General features: G+C 37.1%; 1 protein-coding gene and 1 long non-coding RNA gene across 37 annotated transcripts in view, besides 1 other annotated feature; one reads left to right on the top strand and one right to left on the bottom strand.

The window, feature by feature from the left end:
* The window catches only part of PEX5L (peroxisomal biogenesis factor 5 like), a 241,980-nt gene that overhangs the window by 56,370 nt on the left and 158,202 nt on the right, over window positions 1–27,408 (top strand). For 6 of the 36 annotated variants that reach the window (NM_001349406.2, NM_001349393.2, NM_001349408.2 and 3 more), the window contains exons 1-3: window positions 6,343–6,552; window positions 7,250–7,409; window positions 8,903–8,974. The exons of 9 other annotated variants lie outside the window; for them this stretch is intronic. Coding sequence is in view for 18 of the 27 variants with exons in the window: in NM_001349393.2 (NP_001336322.1) it covers window positions 7,317–7,409; window positions 8,903–8,974 (165 nt within the window). In the remaining 9 variants the exon portion in view is untranslated. Of the gene's footprint in view, window positions 1–6,342; window positions 7,410–8,902; window positions 8,975–27,408 lie in introns of those variants that run through there. 21 more of the 36 variants (XM_024453593.2, NM_001349390.2, NM_001349391.2 and 18 more) reach the window with 5 other exon arrangements.
* Window positions 524–23,830, bottom strand: LOC124909463 (uncharacterized). The gene is made up of 2 exons (XR_007096182.1): window positions 23,708–23,830; window positions 524–1,007 (listed from the first exon to the last, which is right to left on the bottom strand). It is a non-coding gene; the product is annotated as an uncharacterized LOC124909463 (long non-coding RNA).
* Window positions 18,605–18,654: a silencer, noted in NCBI's record as "silent region_14924". NCBI's record gives its function as "represses an Ori minimal core promoter by ATAC-STARR-seq in GM12878 lymphoblastoid cells {active_cell/tissue: GM12878}" and the evidence as "EXISTENCE:reporter gene assay evidence [ECO:0000049][PMID:35858748]".

The following is a 27,408-nucleotide window of genomic DNA, read 5'->3' as shown; positions in this document are numbered from 1 at the left end:
TAATGTTGTTATAGTGAATATATAAGCCATTGGAGAAAAAGGATGAGCAAAAGAAGCCATAAGGAGACTGATCGAGAAATGACAAGAATTGTGATGTTAACTTAGGATGCCTGCAGTTGTCAAGGCCATGGAATCTAGGGGTGAGAGTAATGAGTTATACCTCCAGGAAGTGTTTTCACTCTCAGGAACAGGAAAGATTTATTCTAAGATGTCATGACTGTGTGTAGATCCATATAAAATCTAAATAATAATAATAATAACCCTCAAAAGTCATTTGAGCCATAATAGAAATGCTGATTATAAGCCATTCAGTCACATACATGTAGCTTAAAAATAAATAACTTTCTGCATGAATTTTATGGCCGAAGCACAAACTTTGGGTTGATTCTTGTCAGAAACAAAATTTCATAGGCAAATTTTTCTCAAGCATGTGTCAGAGTTTCCAAAAAAATATGCTGGTCTAGAGAAGGTATAAACATCGAGGGAAAATTAAGTGAGGATACAGAATGCCTATAGAAGCAGCTGGTTTTTTCTTTCTTCTTTATTACAGTAAAGAGATCGCGTTTTAGTTTGCAAGGTCATAAAATCATGATGTCCAGATCAGTTGTTAAAAGGAAGTCAGTGGCAGGTGCGGGATGCCAGGTGTGCTGGCTGCCAGTGAGAAGGAAGAGGAGTCGCTGGAAAAGCCAATGATAAGTACACCTGTGTTTGAGATTGCTGTAACAAGGTTTCATCCCCATCTAATAGGGCCAATGCATACAAAAATAAAAAATAATGTGTCAACGGGGATCAGAAGCAGAACATCAAGCAATAAATTTTCACTTAAAATAGATTATTTGTTATTTTTCTCAGACTGCAGAGATAACAGAATACACAATTTACCTTTTTCCTGTTGGGGATGGGAGAGATTATTGTAGGACAGAAGTGTTCCCTTGCCACTGGGATCCAAGATAATACGTCAATTCTCTTAGACTCTGCACCATCTTCCACCAACAACCATTCCAGTCCTGTTGTGTCGGGGATGACAGGGTTAAAACCACCAAAAAGGAGTGCTTGCTAGTTTCATCTTGTTTTGGAAATAGCACCCAGACTGCTTAAGACTGCCAGAGAGATTATCAGATTAAAATATATAATTTTTCAATCATCATTATCTTCAGCCCACAGAAAACAATTTTTTACATATTGGTCACTGCATCCTATGATTACATTTATAACTTCTAGAGACAAGTCTATAGGGAAGGAGACAAGAACATGCCAGCTGAAAGAAAAACTGGACTCAATTTTCTGTTTAGAAGAACATTATCTTTGTTTTTTTTTTAAAATTTGAATTTGGTTTTGAGGGTGAAAGAGGATTAAAATGAATTTACTTATTGTCCTCCAAGTAATGTGGAACATTGCTGAATCTGACATAATTGAAATTTCAAGTTGAATTTTTGTTTTCTGCCTACTTGATCTCAATATGCCAGCCAAGTACTGTCCCTTAAAGCAAATGTAACCCCTCTGAGAAGTCACTTGCCACTTTCGTTGCAGGTACCAGAGGTGATTACATACTATATAGCCCAGAGTATAGTGAGGTTGTTTGCTGTTTTTCATAGATGCAGGAAACATTGATGATCAAAGGACATAAACTTGAGGATGTGGTAATTAATATCATCTTGAACTGCCTATCATTCCATGGATTAATCCCAGAAAGCTGAGTTGTTTGCTCACTAGCTTTTGACTGAGAGCTATAAAAATCCTAACGCTTTGATCAGAAATCGTTCCTCCTAATCCTAGTGATGGGACCTATACAACACTTAATGGTGAGAATATAGTTCACTGATTTGCTTTCCAAATAAAAGCAAAGATTTTCAGTAAAACAACTCCTAAACTTTAGTGCTCTGATCTTGGAAGCTTTTTGAAACAATAGTCTTACTTTTCTGAGTTTTTAAAAGTAAATTAGATAAAATAAAACTTGAAGGAAAGAATGTGTAGAAATGTGATAGTGTATATACTTTAAAAATATGTCAAGTGGGTGAAAAATTTGGGGCAAAAGCAAGTATAATAAAAGTTAGTAGAATCTAGGTAGTTGAGTACACAGGGTCTCTCTGTAAAAATTATTTTAACTTTGCAGTGTGTTTGAAATTTTCATGATAAAATACTAGAAAAGATATATTAAAAGGTACATACCTAAAGTTGAATTTGTATATTTAAGAAAATGTCACTGGACAATGATGTAAGATTGTGTAATCTTAATGGATACTTATGTTGGAACATTCTTATTTTTTGAAATCTTGGAAAATAGAAAATATTTTCAAGATGCTTCATAAACCCTTCAGGCTATTAATGTACAGACCAAAAGCCACCCTAAAGGTAGAAAAACCAGCATTAAGGGGGAACTGCCAGGCTGTAGTATTGTGATTCCCTGCCATCTTATTATCCAGCTAGTTAGTAACTGGAATACCTATTTTCCAATTAGATTTAACCTTAAAATCCAAAAAATTACTAAATGTCTGGGCTCATGCATATGGCAAAACAGTTTAAAATGCTACAACATACTTGTTGTCCTTATATTTCTTTTCTCACCCAACAACGTACATTCAGAAGTGAGTCTGATTGCCATATGTTTTGTTTGCCCATGCTTGACCCAAAAATAAAAAAGTGTACTGTGTGGCCACTCTCTTTTACCGTAGCATGATCACAGTTAGAGAGGGGGGAAAAGCCCATGAGTGTCTTTTAAAAAGACAAGACAAAAATTGTTCTTTAAAAAATGCCAGACTTAACCAGCCCCTCTGTAAATGATTCTCTGTAAAAATAATAATTTCCCTTCAGAAAATTGATCTCCCCCATACCTAAGAAAAATTAAACATCTGAAAATTGCATTTTTAACTGGTAAGGCAATTACTCTCCATTCAAAAGGTCTATTTGAGCTTACGTCCTTGAAAGGCGATCACTCTCAAGCTCTACTTCCAGGCCTTTTGGGAAAAATTTATCCTTTTTCCTTACTTCCTGTTTTCTCTCTTCATTGCCTCTTTGGCTGCCACAGAAATGAGTCTGTGGCTGTGTTGACACTGTGGATATTTTTAAGAAGAAAGGACATGGAACCAAAATATTGTCAAAGAACTGAGAAGCTTTGTATTATAAGGGAGAGTCAAGAGGAAAGGGGCATATTAAATGCAATAAACAAAGCATTCAGTTCACCATTTACCAGGCTTACTGCAAGGGTCGCAAGTAAAAACTGCAACATGTATCTCTACGAGCGTTTAAACACAAAACAAAAAACCTTCATTCCCAGGAACATCATAAAGGAAGGGTAAAGTCCTGGCCCCATCTTTTTTACTGCAAAGAAGTCTTTAAATGAGTATTTTCTGTGGCAATGTTATGGATCTCTCAAGGAATCACATTTTGTTTACTTTTCTTTAATTATAAAAAAATTCATTATTGTTTCAAAAAGCACTCCCAAGTATAAAGAAAAGCATAGATCATGCACAACCTCATCTCCAAGAGAAAAAGACTTTTAGTATTTGGTATACATCCTTCAAGATTTTTTTCTTACAAATATACAGCACAAAATTGTATTAATAAATTTTAAAAGAGAACCAGTTTCTCTCCAAAGGATCGTTGCTGTTACTTTCTTGCTTCATGAATTATCCCCATTCATTCTCTGGTATCTATATTTTCACTTTTTTTTTCTAGTTCCTTCTTCATGAATTATAAACATGATCAGTATCTTTACACAAGGGAAGGAGGAAACAGTTATACATTTCCCAGTATTCTTTCCCTATACTTTCTATCTTTTAGCTAGCATTCTTACTCCTGCTTTCCATTTCCATTTCCATTCAAGATTTCCTGGCTGGATGCAGTGGTTCACACCTGTAATCCCAGCACTTTGGGAGGCTGAGGTGGGTGGATCACCTGATGTCAGGAGTTTGAGACCATCCTGGCCAACATGGCAAAACCCCGTCTCTACTAAAAATACAAAAATTAGCCAGCTGTGGTGGCACGTGCCTGTAATCCCAGCTACTAGGGAGGTTGAGGCAGGAGAATCGCTTGAACCCAGGAGGCGGAAGTTGCAGTGAGCCGAAATCACATCACGGAACTCCAGCCTGGGCGACAGAGCGAGACTCCTTCCCCCCACACCCCTCCAAAAAAAAAGAAAAGAAAGATTTCCTAAGGGAAGACAAGTCTTTTCTCACTATCTTCCTACGCTCACCACCAATGTATTCAATAATTTACTCTAACCTGGCTTCCATCTTCACCACTTCTGTTCCTGAAGTCGTTAATGACTTCCAAAATGCCAAATACATTGAAAGTTTTTAGTTCATATCCTTATGTAACCTCTCATCAGCATCTGACACTATCAGAACTCTGTTTCCTTTGACTGTATTCCACTAATTCGCCACCTGCATCGTGACCACTCCTCTTCCTCATCATTTACTGAGTTCTTTCCTTTTGCCCATTACTTAAATGCAACTGTTCTCTAGGACTCTGGCCGTAGTCCTCATCTCTTCCTTCTCTGTGTTTTCTTCTTTGGTGAGCTTATCCACTCCTGCAATTTCAATTAACCCTAGTGATCTATATGCACTGCCCTTATCTCTCTTCTTAGATACAGACACCTACATCCAAATGGGTGACTGGATCTTTCCACTGGGATGAACTTTCCAAAGACACCACAAACTCAGCAAGTATCTTTTCAGCACATTTTCTTCTTTTTCAACCCTTCTCCTCATTGACACTCAAAAGAGAGATTAGATCAAAGTCTTCAAGGAAAAGCAGATATGAGGAAATCACCTTTTAGGACAGGGAAAATCTGAGCAATTTTGCAGCTGTGGGAAGGAAAGTGGTAGAGAAAAGGCTGAAGATAGGTGAAAAAGAGGATAGGAACTGAATCCTGACAACCATGAAGAAAACAGTAAGAAGGTCTTTTCTTCTTGTAGCTATATTTTATATTGTATATGTGACATGTGCTTTAATAAATTCATGTCTACTATGTATCATTCATAGCAGCATTGATTTTTAAAAATTTGAATTATTTACATGCAAACCTTTATATTTATTTTGACATCTGTAGTTAGGCAAAAATTGCAGTTAGGGCTAATTTGTACAATTAGCCAAATCAAGTGTTCCTTTTCCCTTTCAAAATGTTCTTTATATATTCCATTCCTAATGAGTATGAAGAGTCCTTTTAATTCAATTCATACACAACTAGTATTTTTCAATTAAAACCCTTACTTTTAAGAAATTCATATCCTGCAATGAACAGGAGTTACTTCATTTTTCAGATCTCTAGCCCATCAGATTTCATTGTTGTGTTACTTACTTGCAAAATGTTCCTATATGATACATCCCATATCTGTGGCCATTATATTGTTTTTCTTTTTTTAATTTTTCTTTATTTTAGAGACAGGGTCTCACTCTGTCACCCAGGCTGGAGTGCAATAGTGCATTCATGGCTTACTGCAGCCTCAAACTCTTGCACTCAAGCGATCCTCCCACCTCAGCCTCCTGAGTAGCTAGGTCTACAGGTGCACGCCACTACGTCCAGCTAATTTTTTATAGAGATGAGGTTTTGCTATGTTGCCCAGGCTAGTCTTGGACTCCTGGCCTCAAGTGATCCTCCTGCCTAGGCCTCCCAAAGTGCTGGGATTACAGGCTTAAGCTACCATACCTGGCCTATATTTTTCTATAGATTTTCCAAGTTTAATGCAAGTTTATTTAATTAAAATAAACTCACCTTTCTGTTTTACTTTTGTGGAGGAGAGGACAAAGGGGTAGGAAACAGGAGGTAGGGTTAAGGAGAGATGGTGGAAGTCTGTAGAGAGGCAAGATTACCAGTTAGGCTCAATGTTCTTAAGAAAGTTACCCATCTAATGCAATAGTATCAAAAAAGTTATCAGCATTAACAAAGAACTAACAAAGATACGTCTCTTGCAGGTCAGAAAGGATTCAGAATGGTGTGGAAAGATAGGAGATACTGTGTTTGGGGTTTCAGAAGTTGGACACGTTATCCTGAGCTGAAAGCTTCTTATGGGGGTGAAGCACTGTCAGCAAAGAAAGACTATGTCCTTTCGCTCTTTCCTCCCCTTTCCCGCCTTAGGACCTCACCATTTTAGCTCCACTGCACTAATGCTCCCTCCTCGGCTGCACCTAGGGGAACAGTGCACAAAGTCGTCCATAAATGGGCAGCATGCTAAGGCCAGGGAGACAGGGGCCTAACCTTACTGCCTCAGTGGAAATCCTCAGCTCCAGTGTCTTGCCACTGAAGGTGGGAGGAGCACAGGAAGTGATTGCCCTGTGGCTTCTCCTCCCACAGAAGCCCTGCCCCCTCACACTTGGAAGGTGGAGAGATTAGCTTTCTTTTTCCTTCTAGTTCAGTCCTTTGGCTACTGTGAAAGACCACGCAGAAGCTGTGGACTTGCTTTTTGTGCTTGACAAAAGTGCATAGATAGAAGACAGGGATTCCCGGCTGGGAGGAGGGAGGAGAGCTGAAGATCCCTGCCTGGGCTGGCTGAGCTAAGCAAAGTGGGAAGCTGAGTGCTTGAAAGAGGATTATGCTCGCACTAGAAATAAGCAGTAAGTGAGTGAATACCATTATGGCTTAGAAAAGGATTAATCCCCCCGGGGTTATGGGGTGAACTAGAAAATATTGCTTAATTCTAGAGTAAAACTGTAAGGCTCCAGCTTTGTGTACTGTTGTGTGCTGTTTGGAGACTAGAGGTTTAAGTACAAAACCAGAGCTCTAAATGCCTCCTCCCACTCTTGGAAAATGCCAGCTTCTATTTAGATTGGTTGGGGGACATAATTTCCTTCCCTGAACTAGCCTCTTCCCAGGAAAATTTACTACTAAATTAGATAAGGAGTTGAGATTGGAGAGGCGGACTTTGGTATTTGTAGAAGTTGCAGTTTCGAATGATGTTCTGTGAGTGCTGACATTCTATCTGTTAGCAGTGATTGTCAAGAAAGTTTAGAATAGGAGATTAAAAAGGGGAAATCAAGAGCTTTTATGATGAGGAGGCTGAAGAGTCCATATGCAGAGAAGTAAATACAAAAATTATATAATTTAAAATAGGTAGATTTTTTAAAACATTAAATGGGAACAACAGTCAAAGAGCATAGAAGTGCATGGATAAAAATTAGTTAGAAAAAGAAATTTTCATTTCAGTGAGTTTTTTGTGCTAGCCAAAAATTTCACAATGTTTACAAAGTCAAGACAATGATTCAGGAATACTTCAATTATTGTTGTACATTATTAATGCTGTTCCTGGGCAAGATCTGTGGTTCTCTGGTCAGCAAGTTCTGGCAAGGAAGCCACTGCCAGTGGCATAAAGAATTCTGGGATGTCTGACAGTGAAATGGATGGAAGGACCCACATTCCATCTCTACTTAATGCCCTTTTGTCCAGAAACCGGGTCATGCAAATGAGCTACTTGGTACGTATACAGATCAATATTTGGAAAGGCACTTCTAAGTGTTTTACATTAGAGACACTCTAGACAAAATCTTATGGCAACCAGTGAACAAAAAGAATACAAAAGCAAAATGATAGGAAGGAAGTCAGCTTGACTGAAACCAACCTTGTTCTTTTTGTTTTCCATCAATCTTGAAATGGAACCTCAAATGAGGACAAGAATAATAATAGGGAGAAATGCTGTGGCCATCTGTTCTGTTCTGAGTGGCTAAGTTCATTAATATATAAATGAGAATTTGTGTTTTATTTATGCATCCTAATACTTGGAAGATGCAGAAATCTCTTTATTACAGTAAAAAAAAAACCCACAAAAATTGGAGATATGTTTTTGCGGGAAAAAAATGTGTAAATCTGGTTTTTGAATGTTATGGGGAAAAAATAAGAATTGTGCTCACAGTGTGAAGATTTATATCATGTTCACTGAAGGATATATCTCTTCCCTGAATGAGATGAGGACCCTAATATGACACAGTAGATGCAAACATAAGTATTTTTAATTCCCTTAATTCAAGTTGATGTAGTTAATAACTAAAGCAAGAATCTTTAAAATAAATAAATAACCTTGAACTACAGCTAACTATGTAGTGGTTTTTATTTTTCATTTGTTGCTGGTATGAAGACACAACATGACATTTCTAGTATTCTCATCAACCGTTGCGTTGGGAGAAAAAAAGGCTCAGACATATTATCTTTCTGCTGTAGCACAAGTGTAAAATGATTATCATTATCTATGTCCTTTTCTAACTTTAGAATTTATAGATTTTGCAATGGAGGAAATAGATGGAGAGTGGTCATTGGGACAAAATAAATGATGACAAAATGCCAAAAAAAAAAAAGTGCATTTACATAAACTCTTAAAATAGTCTGTCCTCCAACTTTTCGAATACCTAATTTTGTAAATTATTTTAGTTATCTCTTTAAAATTATTTCTGAGTTGGTTTTTCCAATGTCAGTATTCATCTGACTTGTGAGCAAATGTTGAAAATCTGAAGATTCATTATCTGAGTTGCATAATACTTCTATTATTCTTAAAAATATGTAAGACATTAAAACAAAACATTGAATAGTTGGAAGTCTTGAGTATAAAGCTAAATGAACTTTCAATCTTTAAGAAAAATGTGCTAAGGCTCTTCAAAGAATTGCTTATTTATCCCAAAGTGTTAAAGAATCTTTTCTGATACTATAGAACTAAAAAGAGAAGCATAAGAATATTGAGAAAAAGATTAAAGGTATAAGTTGGGTAGTGGAGGCTAAGCAGATATTGTTAATGAATAATTATAAGACAGCAGTTTAACAATAAAAACATTTGCTGTTGTACATGAGCAATTTATATAAAGAATGATGCATTATGACTGGTGAACAAGGCTAAGACTTTTATCTTTAAAAATATTAAGTAGAATTAAGATTGTTAATGGATAGAAACTAAATGATCATTTAAAATTATTCTTTCACAAGAAAAGTAAAGAACAAGGATATGGAAAACTAAGCAGTGATGAAGACCTCGAAATAATTGTTGATCAAAAGCAGGTAAGTGAATACTTACGTACATTTTCTACTGTTCTACTGTATATTTTGATGACTAAAGCCTTTTGAGTGTTCAGCCCTTCTCTGGCAGCTGTATTAGCCTGTCTGACTAAAGCCTGCATAACAAGATTTTGAGAGCAGCTAAGCCGCTCCATATGATGCCTCTGATCCACTGACTTTTGCATGATGCCAACATGCATATTTTGTATGTAAGAATGATGGAAATAAAGCTAGAACAAAAGAACTTTTGGAAAATTAAAGGCATCTCTTGATAAAATGAGTCAAAACACCAATGATAATCTGGGAAAAAGATAAACAAGAACAATAAAATATATTATCTTGAAAATGAGAAACACTGCCATTATTCTATCTTGTAAAACAATGGATATAATTGAGAGAGAGAAAGAGAGAAAACTGAAAACCTTAAGACATATATATTGCCCAATTTAATTTTCCAGATTGTCTGCAATATATATAAAGATGATTCTGAAAACAAAAAGAAGAGGCTATTTAATAAAATCTGTAGTACCACCTGTAATTTGAGAAACCACTAGCTTGGATGTTATATGGGCCCATAAGGTGAAATGAAAACTGCTTAATAGAGCATAAACAATGACATACCAGGTAATGGAAGGTTTCCAGCCCATGCCACTGAATTGGTACTAGCCCTTAACATCTCTGTTAATTATCAAGGAGACAAGATAACTGCACATTTATTTAATGCCTGGGTGGCACAGCATCTGAGAGCGACGCAAAAGCTGTAGAGAGAGAAATAATTCAAAGAGATCTGAGTAGATTAAGAGATTAGAGAGAAAGCAGTCAGTAATTTACAGAAAGGCACCTGAATTTGCTCAATTTCCTAATCATGCAGTTTGTTTTGCATCATAACAGTTGCATTCAGGGAGCTGTTGTACATATTTCTGAAAAAAGGAAAAATGACCATCAGAAGGTAGCAACCAGAAATAACTGACTTAGAGACTTGCTTGTTAGTCTTGGAATAACTGAGGTAACTGAGGTGGTCTTCTGGAAAAACTTGCCAAAACATCTCTCTACCGAGGTGCAGAATATATTGATTTTACAGCATTCACTCAAAATGCTTCCGAGTTTTTCTTATCATTGCTCTCCTGCTCCTGGGTAAAACAGGGTAGGGGATGTGTGGAGTGCCAAGTTATCAGTTTAGTTAATAAGGTGGGTGGAACTGTAGCCCATGTGATCTACTGGGCTATTAACTATCACTTTATGCCAGATTAAATACTTGGGGCATGCAGTCTATGTCTGATCCCACCCATAGACTGGGATTCTGATCAAAGGACTGGACCCACCTGGCAAATGAACTAGTAAAATACACCTGGGTATATTATGAGAATACAGATATGTGTACATTTCTCTAATAAAATGAAAAATTAGTTATTTTCTTCCTTAATCATATAGAAGTTAAATTCTTTTTTTCTTCTTATTTACTATCTTCCTACCCCAAAGCTTTTCTTTTCTTTCTTTCTTTTTTGCCTAAATCTTTGCATTTTAACTGAGTTTTGGTGTTCAGAAAACTGCAAAGTTATATTTTGAGATCCTTGTGGTGAAAAGCCAAAGGAAGCCATTGTTCTTTTTTTCTCATGATACCTTTGACAAAATTTCTATTGTTGTGACTAAACACATTTTACTAATTGTTAAGGAATCTTAAAGAAAAAAGAGAAAAAATAAGAGAACAAAACCTTCCTGCTTCTTCAGAAAATAGCACTTTTATTACCTGGATCAAATGAGGGTGGATTCAATTTTCTCAGAGTCGCTGTTTGCCTCTGTAGTTATCACATTTCTTCCAGTGCCATTGCACAAGTTGGTACTGTTTGGCAGTGACTCAGCTTTGCTGAGTTATTCATGTCAAAACATGTTTCAAAAGATGAGTAATTATGAATATGAGTTGGCTTTGGTGTTTGCTGTTGGCAGAAAGAGTAGTCCTTCCTTTTTTTGAAAGATTTATTTGGTGTTGATGTTGTGAGCAAATCCTAGGTTGAAACAACGACAATGTTGATATCTCAAAGTAAAATATTTGGGGAAACACTGTAATTGGTCTTTATAAAGCTATAAGAAATTATCCCAAAGTTTAAGAGGTCAACAAATTAAGCATGTGTGTATGTATATGTACATTTGTTTTCCAGAAAATGAATATTGCCTCATCTCGTAGATATGAGTTATACATATATGATGACATTATACATATATATGTATTTTATATGTATAATAAAATTAAAACTCTATAGCATTATATGCCATTTTGTCAGGAATCTTTATTTTCAGTTTATTCTTCCTATATCTTTTCAAAAACATGGTAGAAATATGTTATAGTTAATCTTCATGTAACTGCAAGTAGATTTTTCAGTAAGTGGTGCCAAAAGAAAATCTAAAGAGGATAAATAAAATAATTGGAATGCTGCAATGGGCAGAAGTCTCCTAATTTCTTTAAATCTGTCATTCAGAAGCTGTCACTCTACAAATGCTGTGTATGCTATATGCCATTTTATCAGTCATGTGATTTGCAAATCTTGTACTTCCACGGAAAGCCTACAGTCTTGCTTATATAAGCAAATTAATAACAGAAGCAGCACCATGTATGTGGATTTTGTTCTCCCTGGCTGCCTTCTCTCAAGGAGGTAAAAGATGATTTCTGTGTTATTTCAACATGGAAAAAAAAGTGTATTTCGGAAATGTGTAAGGTTCTATTCTTTAAAGACAATGTTGTGTTTCTCTCTTTGTGAAATTGTATTGACAAAATTTATTTGGGATATGTATAAAAACATTTCAGAGAACACTTAAATGAGTGTTGATGTCTTATGGTAATAGGTGCCATATGATACACAGACACACAGACACACACAGACACACACACACACACACACACACAGTCATTTAAATAGAAATGTATCACACTGGGGTCAGAGTCCATATTTTCCACCAGAAATCTCCAAGGTTTTCAAACTTTAAGCGTAGAAGGTAATCAAAGGGAATGTATTGGATTAAAATCTTAATGCCTCCAAAACCCAAACATTTGACATAAAAATAATATAACTAATTAGTAAATGCTATATTTGTCTTTGTAAAATAAATATTAAAAGATAAATTTTAAACATCTATTATGGCATATTTTTATTATTTGTGAAGCTATTCCTTCCTAAATGGAGGAAAGGAGGGTCTTGTTTAGGTTTCATGTACACATTAATTTCCTTCTGGAGTTACTGATATTTCAAGTGTGGGAGTAGATAGTCAAGTGCCTTGACTTAAGGGATTAAAAACATTAACCACTTTTAGTGAATTCATTCTATTATAAATTACTATTTTTAGTTAGAGCCAACTTAACTCAAGGTTTATGATAAGCTGGACCTAGATAACAATTTTTTAAAATGTTTTCAAATTCCAAGTAGACTTAAAAGAGGTAACAAAGACTAATAAATTTATAGACTATTTTGATTATATGATGGATACAGTTACAGGTTCATGTATTGTAAAAATGGGTTTAACAGCATGTTGTGGATTTATTGGGTTATAGGACTCAAAGTTGCAGTTTCATAGCCTTTAGTGCAAGCAGGTTGGGAAATGTCAAATTTCAGCCAGTTACAAGGGGAACAAGTATATCCAGGTCAGAGCAATAGTTCTCAAGCTTTAGCTGTTTCAGCATCCCCAGGAGGGCTTGATATAACATAGATTACTGGATCCCACCCCCGGGGTTTCTTATTCTTCAGGTCTGAGATGCGTGCAGCCTGACAATTTGCATTTCTAAGTATTCAGCTACTGCTGCTGGTTCCAGACCACACTTTATGAATCACCGGGTCAGAGAAAACAACTAATGCAGTTTTAAAGGAGGAAAAAATATGTAACTTGTGATAAATTTAACATTCTTCAACCTGGCATTTACCCAGGGATCTAAAAACTGGAATTCATCAGCATTTAACGTAATAACAAGACCAGAAAACAAGAAAACCACAGCCATTTACAACCAAAGGTACCTTTAAAGAACCAGGTTTGCAGTCTGGCTAAATCCACATGGAAATCTGGTAATCTTGAACCTCTCTAAGCTCAGTTTTCTCATTTTCAAATAAGTTTTCTGATATTATTTGTAAAATGATACTGTGCTTTTCCCACCTCCTAGAGTTTCTCTGAGTTAAAATATGTAAAAGTGCTCTATAAAGTGTATAACATTTATGTCATTTTAATTAGCTAGGCATCACCACTTCACTCTCCACCTCCCTTCATCCCCAGTTTAGCAAATGAGAACTTTGAGATCCAGAAAAGTGAATTAAGTTGCCCAACTCCCTGATTAGGTGCAGAAGAGCCCTAGAAGCCAGCTCTCCCTCCTGCCATCCAGTCCCATGCTCTTTCTGTCACCTCACATAGCTCTGTACCATTGCTCATTACTGATCATGCTATGAATGGATTAAGAAGCTGTTTTGCCTCAGTGCTCTAATTGTATAAAATAACCATCTACTAGGAATTATCGTAATTGGTCAACATTTATTTATTGAACCCTCACAGGAATAAACTTCCCTACAAACACTCCTTAACTGTTTACTTCCCTCTTGAGCCCTATGGCTTTGTCAGGAGATAAATGCCCCTTAAAGCAAATGTAAATAAAACTAGAGCTAAAAGTAGTTATGAAGACCGCTTGCCTTTCCTCTCACAACCTCCTCAAGGAGAACGTCTACCAGGCATGAGAAGGGGCCCTGGGAAGAGACAACACATACTCATCTTAGCTTACAGCCTTTTTGAGAGTCTCATTTTCACCTTGTAAAGGAAGCCTGAGCAGAAAGCAACGGACACTAGAACTTCTGTGATCTTTTTCTAAAGAAAAAGAAGAGATAAATTATAACCTCACCCTTGTGTCTCCAATAGCTCATAAGCATTCAAGTTGGATTGCAATTCTGTCCTAGTGGTTGTTGTGAAAATGGATCCTCAAGAGGAAAATATAGGCCAACATGAAATTAAAATGGAAGAACAAGAAAAACAGATTAACGGAGAAGATACCCAGCTTATCTGGTGCTAATAGATAGTCCTACCAACATCTAAGCAACTAACTTTGGTCTCAGACTCACAAATAGTAAAAAGGATGAGGGTAATATGTGTTCCTGCCTTGTCGTTGTTGTGGTCACCAGCCCCATCTGGCCAATGCTTTCTTGGTCATATCAATGTGGTGACTTAATTTAAATGTAATTCAGATCCCATTTACCCCTGAGGACACTTACAAAGTATGATACCCTGTCTCTTGGTATTAGGTGTAACACTGTCCCTGGGTACCTTCTTAGAACTCTGTATTTGGTCAGAAGAACAGAAACCTCCTCTAGAGTTGCAGAAAGGAGACCACCTGCTCAGCCTGCAGATTCTGAAGCATGAAACTCTGAGACATTCGAAGGACACAGCACATTATGCAGTTGTAGTTGCCTTAATTACACTCACAGCAGACATAGGCTCATTAGTGTTTTCCTCAGGAAAGATTGATCGATGAAAAATAATTGAATGAAAAGAAGCCAGATTTATTTGGAATGAGAGAGACTATTCAAATTTGCTATCTATCTGAAATCAGCATTGGAGTAAACAAAGATTCACTGTTGCAGTCCAATCAATCCCATCTTGTCTGCAAACTATTTATCATCAATAAATATTGTACACAGAAGGGGGAAATTTCTTCCATTAGGTTAAATAGAAAAGTTACTAGAGTGAAAGCATAATCACCCTGTGTTTTATTCCTAAATATTCTCTATTTGTATCAAGTAATATAAAAATAATTCTGAGTTACTGATAATTTGGAGGGCAAAATAACAGTAATGCAAATTATCTTACTTTGTATTTTCCTTGTAAACTCACGATGCTGAGTTTATTTTTTGGTTTGTTTAGCTTCATGCATTTCAATTTAATGTACTGATTCTCCTAAGCATCACTGGACTCTAGGAAAAACACAAAGGGCAAATCTAATATCCTTCATTTTAGAATCTTACGACCGATTGTTAAAGTCTGGTGGTATAAAGCCAGAAAATACAGAGAGTCACGTGTCATAGAGCGGCACAGAGGCAGGTAAGATAGCTGAGGAAAGAATCCATTGCCCTGGTTCCTAGTCTGGCCCTGCCGCTTACTAAGCAGAAGACTTTGGAGTAAGCAGTTTAAGTTCTCTGAGTTTACATTTTTTCATCTGTACAATGCAATAATAGCATCTGCTCAGATGCCTGCTGTGAGGCTCAAATGAGGATGCTCCCTTGTAGAGCCATGTGTCCAGCTTGGCCTCCTTTGGTCAGTCCCAAGTCTAGAATCCAGGGCCACCACTCCTTTGTTTTGGGACTTTTTCCTCTGTAACTCGTGCCTCCTGAATGGTGAGTTGGAGATGGTTGTGGTATCATGACATTTTCACTTTGGTTATTTCCACTGGTTTACTATTAGACATTCGGCATGCCTTCTGTGGAACAGTGTCAGATACTCTAGTCTAGCACATTTTCAGCGGTGCCAGCTCTTCTGCCATGCCATGTGGTTAGCATTGTGAATATAACACAGAATGTGTGTGTATCACTCTTACACAGTGGTTAAGAGCAAGGTCTTTACAGTCACAAATCTGAGTGAAAACAGGCTATGGCCATGTCATAACTGTTTGGGAAAATTAACCAGCTCTGTGAGCCACAGGCTGCTCTGCTATAAAATGAGGAAAATATCTACTTCATAAAGTTTTTGGGAGAAAGAAATAAGTTCTTGTATATAAATGCCTAGCAAAGTACGTAGCGTGCGGTAAGTGCTTTATAAATGGCAGGTACTGAGGTGAAAGCATGGTGGTAGTTGGTAGATAGTTAGACTAAATAGCTGTAAGATCCCCTTGTTATCTCATTGTGGTTTGGGTATGCATTTCTCTAGTGATTAGTGATGTTGAGCATTTTTTCATATGCTTGTTGACTGTGTGTATGTCTTCTTTTAAAAAGTGTCTATTCATGTCCTTTTCCCACTTTTTAATGGAGTAGTTTGGTTTTTGCTTGTGAATTTGTTTAAGTGCCTTAAAGATTCTGGGTATTAGACCTTCGTGAGATGCATAGTTTGCAAGCATCTTCTTGCATTCTATGGCTTGTCTGCTTAATCTGTTGACAGTTTCTTTTGCTGTGCAGAAGCTCTTTAGTTTAATTAGGTCCCATTTGTCAACTTTTGTTTTTGTTGCAATCGCTTTTGGCATCTTCGTCATGAATTCTTTGCCCAATCCTATGTCCAGAATAGTATTTCCTAGGTTATCTTCCCGGGTTTTTACAAGATCATGTCCTTTGCAGCAACGTGGATGGAACTGGAGGTTATTTTCCTAAGCAAACTAACCAGGAAACAGAAAAGGAAATACCACGTGTTCTCATTTACAAGTGGGAGCTAAACATCAATTACATATGGACATTAAGATGGGAACAACAGACGCCAGGGCCTGCTTGAAGGTGGAGGGTGGGAGAAGGGTGAGGACCAAAAAACTGCCTATCAGGTAATATGTTTATTACCTGATTATTAAGTTTATTCACAGGAATAATGAAATAATGAATTAATGGATAATGAAATAATCTGCACAGCATATCCCCGTGACATGCAATTTACCCATATAACAAACCTGTACATGTACCCCTGAACCTAAATTAAGAGTTAAAAAAAAAAGATGTCCTTGGAATTTGGGGACATTGAATTATAATTATTTTAAACAATAAAGTCTAGTCTGGGGTCATGGATGCAAATGCCTTTTCCAATCATCCAGGTCCAGAAATGAGGTTAGTAGACTGTGCATAAGAAACATAGGGAGTGAGGGAGTCAGTGGCTACTTGGTGGGAGCTGGCCCCAGTAGAGGTGGCAGCACGTATCAGCTTCAGCGGATTGCCACCTTGTTGGAAATGGGCTCAGTGTCACCACACATAGGAATTTTTCAAAAAAGGCATTAATCTCTGCTTTTTTACATGTTTATAATCTTTTTTAAAATTTTAAACAGTATATAATCAGACAAAATAGTCTGTGTATACAACCCATGGGGTCCAGTTTATGACTTGCTATATTCATGAGTCTCTAAGATCCAGGAAGAGTCCTATGTGCTCTCCTCTGTTTCTCTCCCATTTTACACTTTCCCCATTGAAAATTAACCTAACCTAGTTGTTGATCTGATTAAATTAATGGACATTAAGTTATCATTGACGCTGGCCTTATGTTCCTTGGGAAATTGAAGTACTTCCAAAGAAAACTGGCCAATTTAAAATGTAAAAAATCCCCATTTGATAAAATGAGTAGGGCAGTTATTTATGAGCAGGAGGCATTGCTGATGTTTCTACCTATGCAGGACTGTGTTTACTGTCTTCTGCTCTTGCCAGCCTAGCCATCTCTGTGAGTAAACAAGGTTCTAGCATTGTTGAGTAACAAGCACACACCTAGCTCTCCTCTACCAGTCCATCTTCCCCAGTTTTCCAAGCAGTAATGCAACTAACTCACAGGGCTCAGTTAAAAACTGTAATCACCAAGAGAGACATCATGAGTCACCATCTCAAGTTCAACAAATATCTGAAATGCTATCAGGTATCTTTACTTTAAGATATTAATATTCAGCCTATGTTCATTACATGCAGCATAAAAGAAAAATACTAGACTTTCAAGCTGGAAAAATGTATTGCTGTTAAGTCATTTTCAAATAGCCCATGTTTTCTTTCTTTTTAATCTAATAGGGAGAAGTGCTGGCACAATGTTTAGTCAGTGAGAAAACAAATGCATAATTGAAATGACATGAGCTGACAGGTTGAGTGTAAAAATGATGTTATATATGAAAGTAACAGTCAGAGACAGTAGTACTTAAAATTAGACTCAGCCATTTGGTAGAGAAATTGAAAAGAAACCTATTCAGCCTTTTATTGTGGAAGGAGTGTTGCCGTACTTATTTATTTTTGCTGTTGATTTTTAAGTAGGTTCATCTGATCAAAATAAGAACTGTAAATATTAGATCTGGAAGGAATTTCAGAAGATAATCTAATCCAGTGGATTAAAAAATTAAAAATTCCATCCCATGGAACCCATTTCTAGTCACCTTAATAGGGGAAGGAGTGTGTATGATTATGGTGATAGCACTTAAGGAACAACTTAGGTGTATAGATAAACTTTGATGAAAAGATATTGTTCTAAGAAGCTTAATCATATTACTTGTTATAATCAAAATAAGTTAAGCAAGTCTTGGAGTAAAAAGGTAACTTGACTGGGTTCACCAGGTTACTTCACATCACAGGCAATATTTGAACTTGGGATCTGCAGCCTCTAGTCTTGAGTTCATTCAGCCACTCCTGTAACTGCCTTTCTAAATTATGATACTTCCTCTCCTTTCTTCCAAATGTCCCATGTTGGTAAGATAAGCATAGTAATCAAACCAGAATAGTCATTTGAGAAAAGTGTGTATTTCAAGTGCACAGCTAAAAGTCTATTTGTCTGATAGATTTTTATAAAAAGATGTTTATATTAGATACCTCCTAACTCTTCATAAAATGGTTCTCACAAACTTTGTGACATCTTCCCAGTATCCATCAGGGTATAGATATTAAAGATTTTTAAAGTAAACTTTGAAATCTCCTAAACTACTCTGGGATTAACAAAGTGTTTCCTCCCTGTTGACACAGATGGTTTTTCTACAGCTCATCTCTCAGGGCCTCTCCACCTGGTTCAGTTTATCATCTCCCCCTCAACTGGCCATGGTGATTGTGAACCGTATCGACAGTTCAGCTTTCAGGCCCATCCGTTTTGAAGTCAGCTGCCAGTGCTTTTGTCTAATGAACCATGCAGGTGAACTCGGTGATTACTGATTGAATCAGCGTCTATTGTCAGAAGGGCTTTGAAAACCAGTTGTGAGTGGAAATATTTGTCCCTCAATGATTTATGTTATAAATTCAATTTTATCACTTATAATAAAAATGACAAAGGATCAGGAAGACCATACAAAATATTTTTCTTATTTTCATATTTAAACAACAGGGAGAGTTTACAGAGTAAAGTTCCCTTTTTCTCTTCGACTTTGGACTGAGATGCCCACGCTCTGCCATTGCCCCGACCTTGTCATTCTGTGGTTGCGCTTTTACTTCTCTCCATCCAGACTTTACAGTGCATGTCTTTTCTTCTCTGCTCAGCACCACTCTCTGATCCCTGCCTCTGGAACGTGTCTCTTATTCTGACACTGCATATATAAGGTTTGACAGAAATGCAGTTCTTGCAAACCTGTTTTTTTTTTTATGCTCCATTGCTTTCTTCCTTTTCTCCAAAACAACTCTAGAATTCTGTCATTTCCATTTTTGGTTTAATTTTTCACATGGTTTACCCCCAGTTGAAATGGGTACCACTTCCTTCCTGTCTTGTGATCTAGGAAACACACACACACACACACACACACACACATACACATACACAAGTGATCATTCAATACAATTGTTATTTATTCCTCATCGTATTTTTTGGCCAAATGATCTCATTCTTGAAATATATGAATAAGTAACTTATTAAAGAAATGGAAATGGTGAGAGAATGTACCATCCAGGCTTTGTGCTGGATGTTCTGAATAGAAAAAACATTCATTCATCACTTTGTTTTCTAACAAAATTATCTCATTTGTATAATTTGTGAATAATTAACTAATTTTGTTGTAGAAAAACACTAAGCATAGAAGTTGTTTTCTTCCAGTCAAGGGTTGTTCAGTTATCACTTCCCTGCATTCTCAGCTTCTCTCTTTAAACTTTAAATGTGTCCCCAAAATTGACACATGAAATTTTATGAACTATTGGAGTAGTCCCTGAAAAAAATGAGCTATGTTGCATAAGTTGATGGATTTCATTAATCAAATCATTTACTACAAGATAAAACATATTGAGCTCATAAACAGGTTAGATATTGTTAAATTTTTAAGCTAAAAATGTAAAACCTTGTAAACTTTGCATTTTTTAAAAAAGGAAGCAACTTGTTTTTGTCTAGATGAATGAGCCATTTTAATTTTGCATCCAGACTCCAAGGAACTTGAGTTAAAATCATACCCTTGGATCAGGACTTTTATGAACAACAGTAGCAATACCCCATGGACCCCAACACTGCTTAGCTTACTGGTGAGCACCCAATACATAGTGAGAACTAATGTTTCCCACTGTCTCCCAAATAAAATGCAAACTCCTCCACTGGGCTTGCAGGCTGTCCATTGTCATCCAGCCCCTAACTACCTCATTGTGCTTATCTAATGCCCCCTCAACTTCATGCCCCATTCATACTGAACACCTTGAAGCATCGAGTGTTTGATGTTCTTCCTCCCTTCACACTTTGCTCTTGCTCTTCCTTCTGCCTATGTGTAAGAATATAACATATATCACAAATATTTTGGCATATCTGCTAGAAGTAGAGGATATAGATTGCAAGGAAGGAGACCTCCTCATAGTTCTGACCAAGGCTGGCCCCTTGGAGAATCCAAATGGTAAGAGAACAAAGAGGGAAAGAGCAAGTCCCCCTAGGTTCTGTAGATGGACAGACTTCTTCAGCTTTACAAATATAAGGGAGAAATGAGAAAAAAAATAAGCAAAACATAAAGCCTGCTCTTGAAAAGAAGAGGCAGAAAATGGAGAAACAGAAAAATCTGAGACTCTATTACTTGGAGAAATTTATTATGTAAACAATTTTGCTATATATATTCTAGGCATAGTTTTGGAGGAAAACACATAGTTACACTGAGTACAGTAATACCTGCTATAGTTCTAAAAAATAATTTGTCCTTATTCTGCTCTGCTGCCACAGTGGTTCTTCCCATGTGGTGAGTGAGAAGGAACAGTGGAGAAACAGCAGAGCCAGGTCAGGGAATGCTGGTGACATTTAGCCTCAGTGTTCGGGGTGAGAGAACTAAATAGGGAATCATATTTTTTTGATACTGATCCTGAGAGAAGCTATATGAAAAAATATAATTTTTCATTTTCTTTATTATGAAATAACTTCAGGAGGAAGATAGAATGCTGCTTTTGAAAAAAATACATTATTTCCCATCTCAAAAAAAAGAAAAAATACATTATTTTGATGGAAATGATTTAATCTATTTTACTTATTTTACACAAACTTATTTACAGCCTAATTTTTTGGTAGGTGTTTGCTAGGTGCTGGAACACAGAGATAACATAACCATAGTCACGGCCTTTAAGAAGCCGGTATGGTTGGACTTACAGTCAACAGACAGTTACAGTGCCCGTGCTGCAGTAGTTGGAACCAAGGGCTCCCAGGAGCATTTGGGAGCCTCAGAACTCTAAGAACTAAGATGTGCGTTATTTCCTCCTTCCCTAATCATAGTCCAGAAAAAGTTACAAGGTTTTCCAGTGCTCCACGTGTTCCCAGGAGGAGACGTGGGCTTTGGGAACAATTACCAAAGATGTTTTTTAGAACCTGTCTACTCAAAGAGTGGTTGGTTCATGGACCACAGCATCAGCATCACCTGGCGCTTGCTAGAAATTTATACTCTGAGCTTCAGACTCTGGAGGTGGGGCCCAGGAATCTGGTTTTTTTTATTTTTTTTTTTTCGGTTTTGTTTTTGTTTGTTTTGTTTTGTTTTTTGAGATGGAGTCTCGCTCTGTCGTCCAGGCTGGAATGCAGCAGCGCGATCTCGGCTCACTGTAAGCTCCGCCTCTAGGGTTCACGCCATTCTCCTGCCTCAGCCTCAGGAATCTGTTTTAACAAGCCCTGCAGAAGAATCCTGTACACACTGTGGCTCCTAGGAAGCATTGGTTTATGTTATTCCAATTTTTGGTGTCAGGAAAGGATCATTTATACTTTGATAAAGACATTAATTTTTTATTTTGATTTTCTAGGCCTACAAAAAAGAATAAAGACAAGTTAAGTATCTTAAATCCTTTATCTGAATGTCCCTAACCTTGCAAATATTCCTTTCCTGCCTCGTCATTAAAGCGAACCTACTCAGTAATCAGTCCTGTAAAACAAATTGTAACAAAAAGAAAGCATAAATGAGGGAGACCAAGAGGTGAAACTTGTTAACCCGATATTTGTCTTAAGCTCTTCTGGTCTTACACCACGTTTATTAAAAGACTAATGATAACAAGACACACTTACACAGCATTTAGTATGTGCTACACTCTGTTCCAAAGACTTTTTGTATATTACTCATTTAATCCTCCCAACAACTTCACCATGTAGGTTACTATCATACCCATTTTACAATACACAATGGGGCAAAGGGAATTTTACACAGGGCTGCTGTGTTGCACAACCCCAGAAGGCTATGCTCTCTACACAGCCTGTGCGGCAGTACATGGCAGTGCTGGGTCAAGTGAGTTCACGTTTAAAAACTTCCTTTCATCATACCTCCCTCACTTATTAAGGAAATTTCTTGCAATTTTGACTGTTAGGAAATAACATAAGATGGTAAAATCTGAAAAAGCCTTCCTATTTTTAAAGGAAAGATATGCCATATATGATAAAGAAGAGCATAAATACATTAAGATGGGGAAACTGGAAAATATATTTTTTCCTTCCCAAAAAAAAGTATTCTTGAGAGTGTGTATGTATATATGTGTGCATGTGTGTGTGTATGTGTGTGAGAGGGAGAGAGAGAAGAAATAGAGAAAAGGAGAATGTGTGGCTACATAGCCATAAACATGCATAATCAAAAGCAAAGCTGCAAAAAAGAGCAGATGCCTAATCCTTAAATACGTGCCCATTCTGAGGCCACTGGGGCAGTACACAATACTGAATGGCCAGGACCAGGTGACCAGATGGCCCTGTAATATAACCAATAACAACCATGTATTGCATTGAGGTTGCTACATATGTTTCAAGTGCTTGTGTCTGAGGTGCTACGTATGATAAATTAAATCCTTACTTTGCATTAGAATTACCTCTGTACCCACCACATTTGAAAAATTCTACACCTGGCACAAAACCAGAAAGCCTGTCACTTCAGTATTTGTTGAGCAGCTTTCTGTTATGGGAGTATATTTCTGTGCTCTGAAAATGTCACTCCACCAGCTGCCCTACAGGAGCTGACCTTTCTTCTCAGGCTGAAGTTCCTGCTGATCTGTTTAGTAGAGCTAGTTTATCCCAAGTTGTTGGCACATGTCCAGTGTCACTGCATGCCCATCTACAGAAGTGGTCTGAGAGCTGATATTTAGCCACCCCTTTAGACTTTCACCTGACATGACTCTGCCCCTCCCAGCTCCTTGTGATTCCTTCTGTGATCCTCCCAAAAGCAGCGCCCCAGCCTTCCTCCCTGAGCCTTACCTGTTAATGCTAGACTACTGGCAATCACCCTTGGGGCCCTTCTCCCCAGCTACATTATGCTTATGATGTATATATGAAACCTTTCTCCAGAAATTTTGGACAAGAGAGAAAGTATCACCCATGGTCCTGAGAACTCTTCATTTTGCATACTCTCACTTTTGCATAATTGCAAGATAATTTTAATTTTTTTATAGTCGCAGTCGGTGTGCATTCAATTTTGTACCTGCTTCTTTATGTAACATTATGTTACGCTCATTTTTCCACATTGCTACATAGTTTTATAAATGTCATTTTAGTGGTTTCCTTATATTGAATCAAGGTGATCCTTAGGCAATTTTTTTCCAGGATTTTCACTGGCTCATGCAGTGACCATTCAAACCTTACTCATCTTTTAAGATGCAAGTTATCAAATTAAAGAGGAAAAGAAGGGATTGCAAAAAAAAATCATGTACATTACTATGATTAGACATATACGTACTGACTTACCGTGAATTCTGCATGATGTTTGTGGGAATTTGCAGTGTCATCTTTTCATATCCCGGATGCACCGTTAAGCATCACTGGAGATGGCACCGTGCATGTTGCGTCGCTCCGTAAAACCTCAGGTTTAAACTATATTCTATGTGGCAGTTATACAGCATTTCTGTTTCCTGAGGCTGACCACAGCCAAACCACAAACACGGATTTGCATAAATTCAGTTTGCATGAATTTTTAAGTTAGCTGAGAAAAGAAACTAACTAAATATTTTTACAGCCACATGAAACTTAGGAGATAATTTACTTTGGTACCTCATTCATTGAGGACACAGATATATATATCCACTAGGGTATTCTTATGCCCAAAAAATACACTCTAGAAACCCATATTGAAGTCTAAGCAACTTGTATGAAGTGGTTACCACTAAAGGGGATATAGAATTCAGACCTAAGACTGCTTCATATTGAAAGGCAGTGATGAAAAGAAATAATCGTGAATTCGTTTTAGAATGTATTATTTTATAAGCATTCTAGATTTTACCATTTTTCCTAGGGCTCCAAAATGCAAAACTCTTAAACTGATAAAGAACCAAAGGTACAGAAAGTTATTAAGATCTATAAGGCAGAGCTGAAATACAAGTGAGGGTGCTAAAATTCAAGTTCCTGACACTGCCAATGACTTTCTATTTGACCTTGAACACATCTCTAAGCCTTGACTTCCCTATCAGCAAAATGATAATAGTTTCCCTACTTCTATCTCCCAAGAATTCTGGGAGAATTTCTTAAGGAAAACTATAAAAATAATCATTTGAGCCACTCGAGAGGATTACTTCCTGTGAATAAATCCAAGATGGTATCGTCTGTAAGGAAGCCACTAATGCCCTAGGGTTATGAATCACTTTCTTGTGTTTAAGAGCAATTTAAAAATTAAATCCCCTGTAGAAAAATGAACACATCCATAATGATTACTTTTACATCGGTAGTACTTTGGGAGGGGGTAAAGTATGGCATGATTTTATGAATTTATAACTCATCAAATTAATTACATTGGGTTTTTTGAGTGATTATTTAGATAACTTTCTAATCGTAATAAGAAAAAAGTGAATACTCATATTTATGTTTTTCAACTGCCCCAAAAGATTATATTATAATACGTAGTTCTAAAGAAATAATGGTACTTTAATCACTATAGATTCTATTTTTCTGAAATGAACACAATATTTTTCCTAGAACAGCAAAAATCATGCTGAGGCTCCCAGACTTTATTTAGCAGTCAAGAAATTACATAGCCCACATGAAAACATATTTGTCCCCGAAGACTAGAAAAACACTTCCCAGATGAATTTCGTTAACACCTGTGCCTTCTTTTTGAAAAAAAAAAAAAAAAAAAAGAGCATAGCAGAACTCATAGTGAGTCTTCAGCAAAAAAAAAAAAGTCACATAACATCGCTCAAAACACAAAGAAACCCAATTAGCTTCAGCAAGGTGCCAAAGAAAACGAGAACTTTCTCTCACGAAGTAAGTTGACATTTAGAACCACCCTGTATAGTTTTGAAGGGAATTAGGCCCTCTATCAACAAACTGTCTTTGGAACAATTATTTCAGGCTGTACTTGTACCAAAGGTTAGTAACCACAAATTAGTTCTTATTATTCTTCCTTATTTAGAAACATGCTTCTGTGACATGAGGAAGGCCTGCCTCTAGCTTCCTCAGAACTTCCAGCCTATCAGGAAGAAGAAATTATCTAAAAAAAATAAAATAAATATATGTGTCAGATTTAAAGTTCTTGGGGAAGCCACATTATAGGACAGGAGTTAGGGAAAGGGGGAGTGAAGAGAAATTTTGGTGAATCAGCTTGTGCAGAGGTCATTTAAAACACAAATATAGACACTGTAGATGAGACTGAAGAGTTGAATGGGTCATACTTTATGCCCTAACTGTCCAATTTAGTCACTTTGTAAGTGGGGTAAGGGGGAGGGAAGAACAAAGGGAATTCACGTTGTTGAGCACCTACTATGTGCCAGACAGCATCCTGAGAGGTATAATTATGACAGTTTTTCAGAATGATGAAAATAAAAAAAAAATAAAACAAAGCTTAGAAGGGCTGAGAAACCCGAAAAGAGTCACATAGCTAGTCAAGCAGCAAACATAGAATTGAAATCAGGTCTGTCTGCCTCCAAAGCCCGCGCTCCACCTCTGTCAATCACCTTCCCACCAGCCATCAAGAAAACGAAACTGCATTGCATTTTCTTGAATTTACAGATACAATCAGTAGTTACTGCACAATGCCTAGTACCCACTAGGAGTTTAAATAAAAGGGACTTCTTTACATTAACAAACAAACAAAAAAAAGGTCCCAGAAATCCCCTGCCGGTCACCTGCTGCCACTTGCCAGTTCTTCTGTGGTGATTCTTTGGAAGAAGCCCAGTACTGAATCACGGAATAGGGCAAGCAGAGGGTTCTCTTGGAACATAAGAACACATGAAAATAAAGACTGTTTTGTTCTGTTTCCTAGTTTGCACACAAATATGTCTGTATTTTACTCATAATTGGCCTGAAGATACATTGTACTAGAAAAATCAAATGGCTTATTTCACCAGGCTTTTCTCCCATTCTGAGAGTGCTGAAGCCCTTTTACTCATGGCTGACTTTTTCCCCCCCCCCCGACTAATGGTTAATTTCTGGGCTTGTTCTTGTGGAACTTAAATAGTAAATGTATCCAAGGCAGGTACAAAAGAAAAAAAAAGAAATCTCTGGACCTTAAGAAGCTGCAATTTCCTGTAGCCAGATGAAACCATGCCTCACATCCCTCCTTAGATTTATAGAATTAACGACATTGAGAGACACAAGGTTAAAATTATAATCTTTCTAGAAGACTCAAGTAGATAAAAGGAAGCAAAATAGTTTGCCTTTGGGGATATTTATAATACCTTGCTAACTTTTAGCTTCATTAGTTGCTAAGCATTTTCTTTCTCACTGTATTCATTTCAGTTGGTCATCATTTCCCTTTTCAGCTCTTTCACTCCTTCCATTATGATTTACTGCATGTCAACCTTTGAGCCTCCTATTTCATCCATCGGCGAGGCTGTTTGCACCTTTGCTTTTGGTGGGTTAGCTTATCTAACATCACTACTCCATTTCCATCCTGAGTCATAGTGAGGCCCCAGACTTAACAGTCTTTCCATCACTGACGATGGATCATTTAGAGATGTTCCCTACAGCATCATGGAAACCAACTTAAAGGCACTTATGAATGATACAGCCCTCCTGCTTCTCAAAACAAAATGAAATCTTTTAATGTTAAATTGATCAAGATTTTTTACTGAACAATGTAAACCTCCTTGGTTACACCTGCATGCAATAGATTTGAATGGTATCAGCAGCAGAATCTTTAAATTAAAAAAAAACTTTTGAGAAGTGTCTGTTCATATCCTTCGCCCACTTTTTGATGGGTTGTTTTTTTCTTGTAAATTTGTTTAAGTTCCTTGTAGATTCTGGATATTAGCCCTTCGTCAGATGGATAGATTGCAAAAATGTTCTCCCATTCTGTAGGTTGCTTGTTCACTCTGATGATAGTTTCTTTTGATGTGCAGAAGCTCTTTAGTTTAATTAGATCCCATTTGTCAATTGTGGCTTTTGTTGCCATTGCTTTTGGTGTTTTAGTCATGAAGTCTTTGCCCATGCCTATGTCCCGAATGGTATTGCCTTGG

The sequence above is a fragment of the Homo sapiens genome, chromosome 3 (genome assembly GCF_000001405.40).
Source record: "Homo sapiens chromosome 3, GRCh38.p14 Primary Assembly".
Classification (NCBI taxonomy): domain Eukaryota; kingdom Metazoa; phylum Chordata; class Mammalia; order Primates; family Hominidae; genus Homo; species Homo sapiens.
Note: the sequence above shows the minus strand (reverse complement) of the source record. Positions and strands in the feature narration are given on the sequence as shown.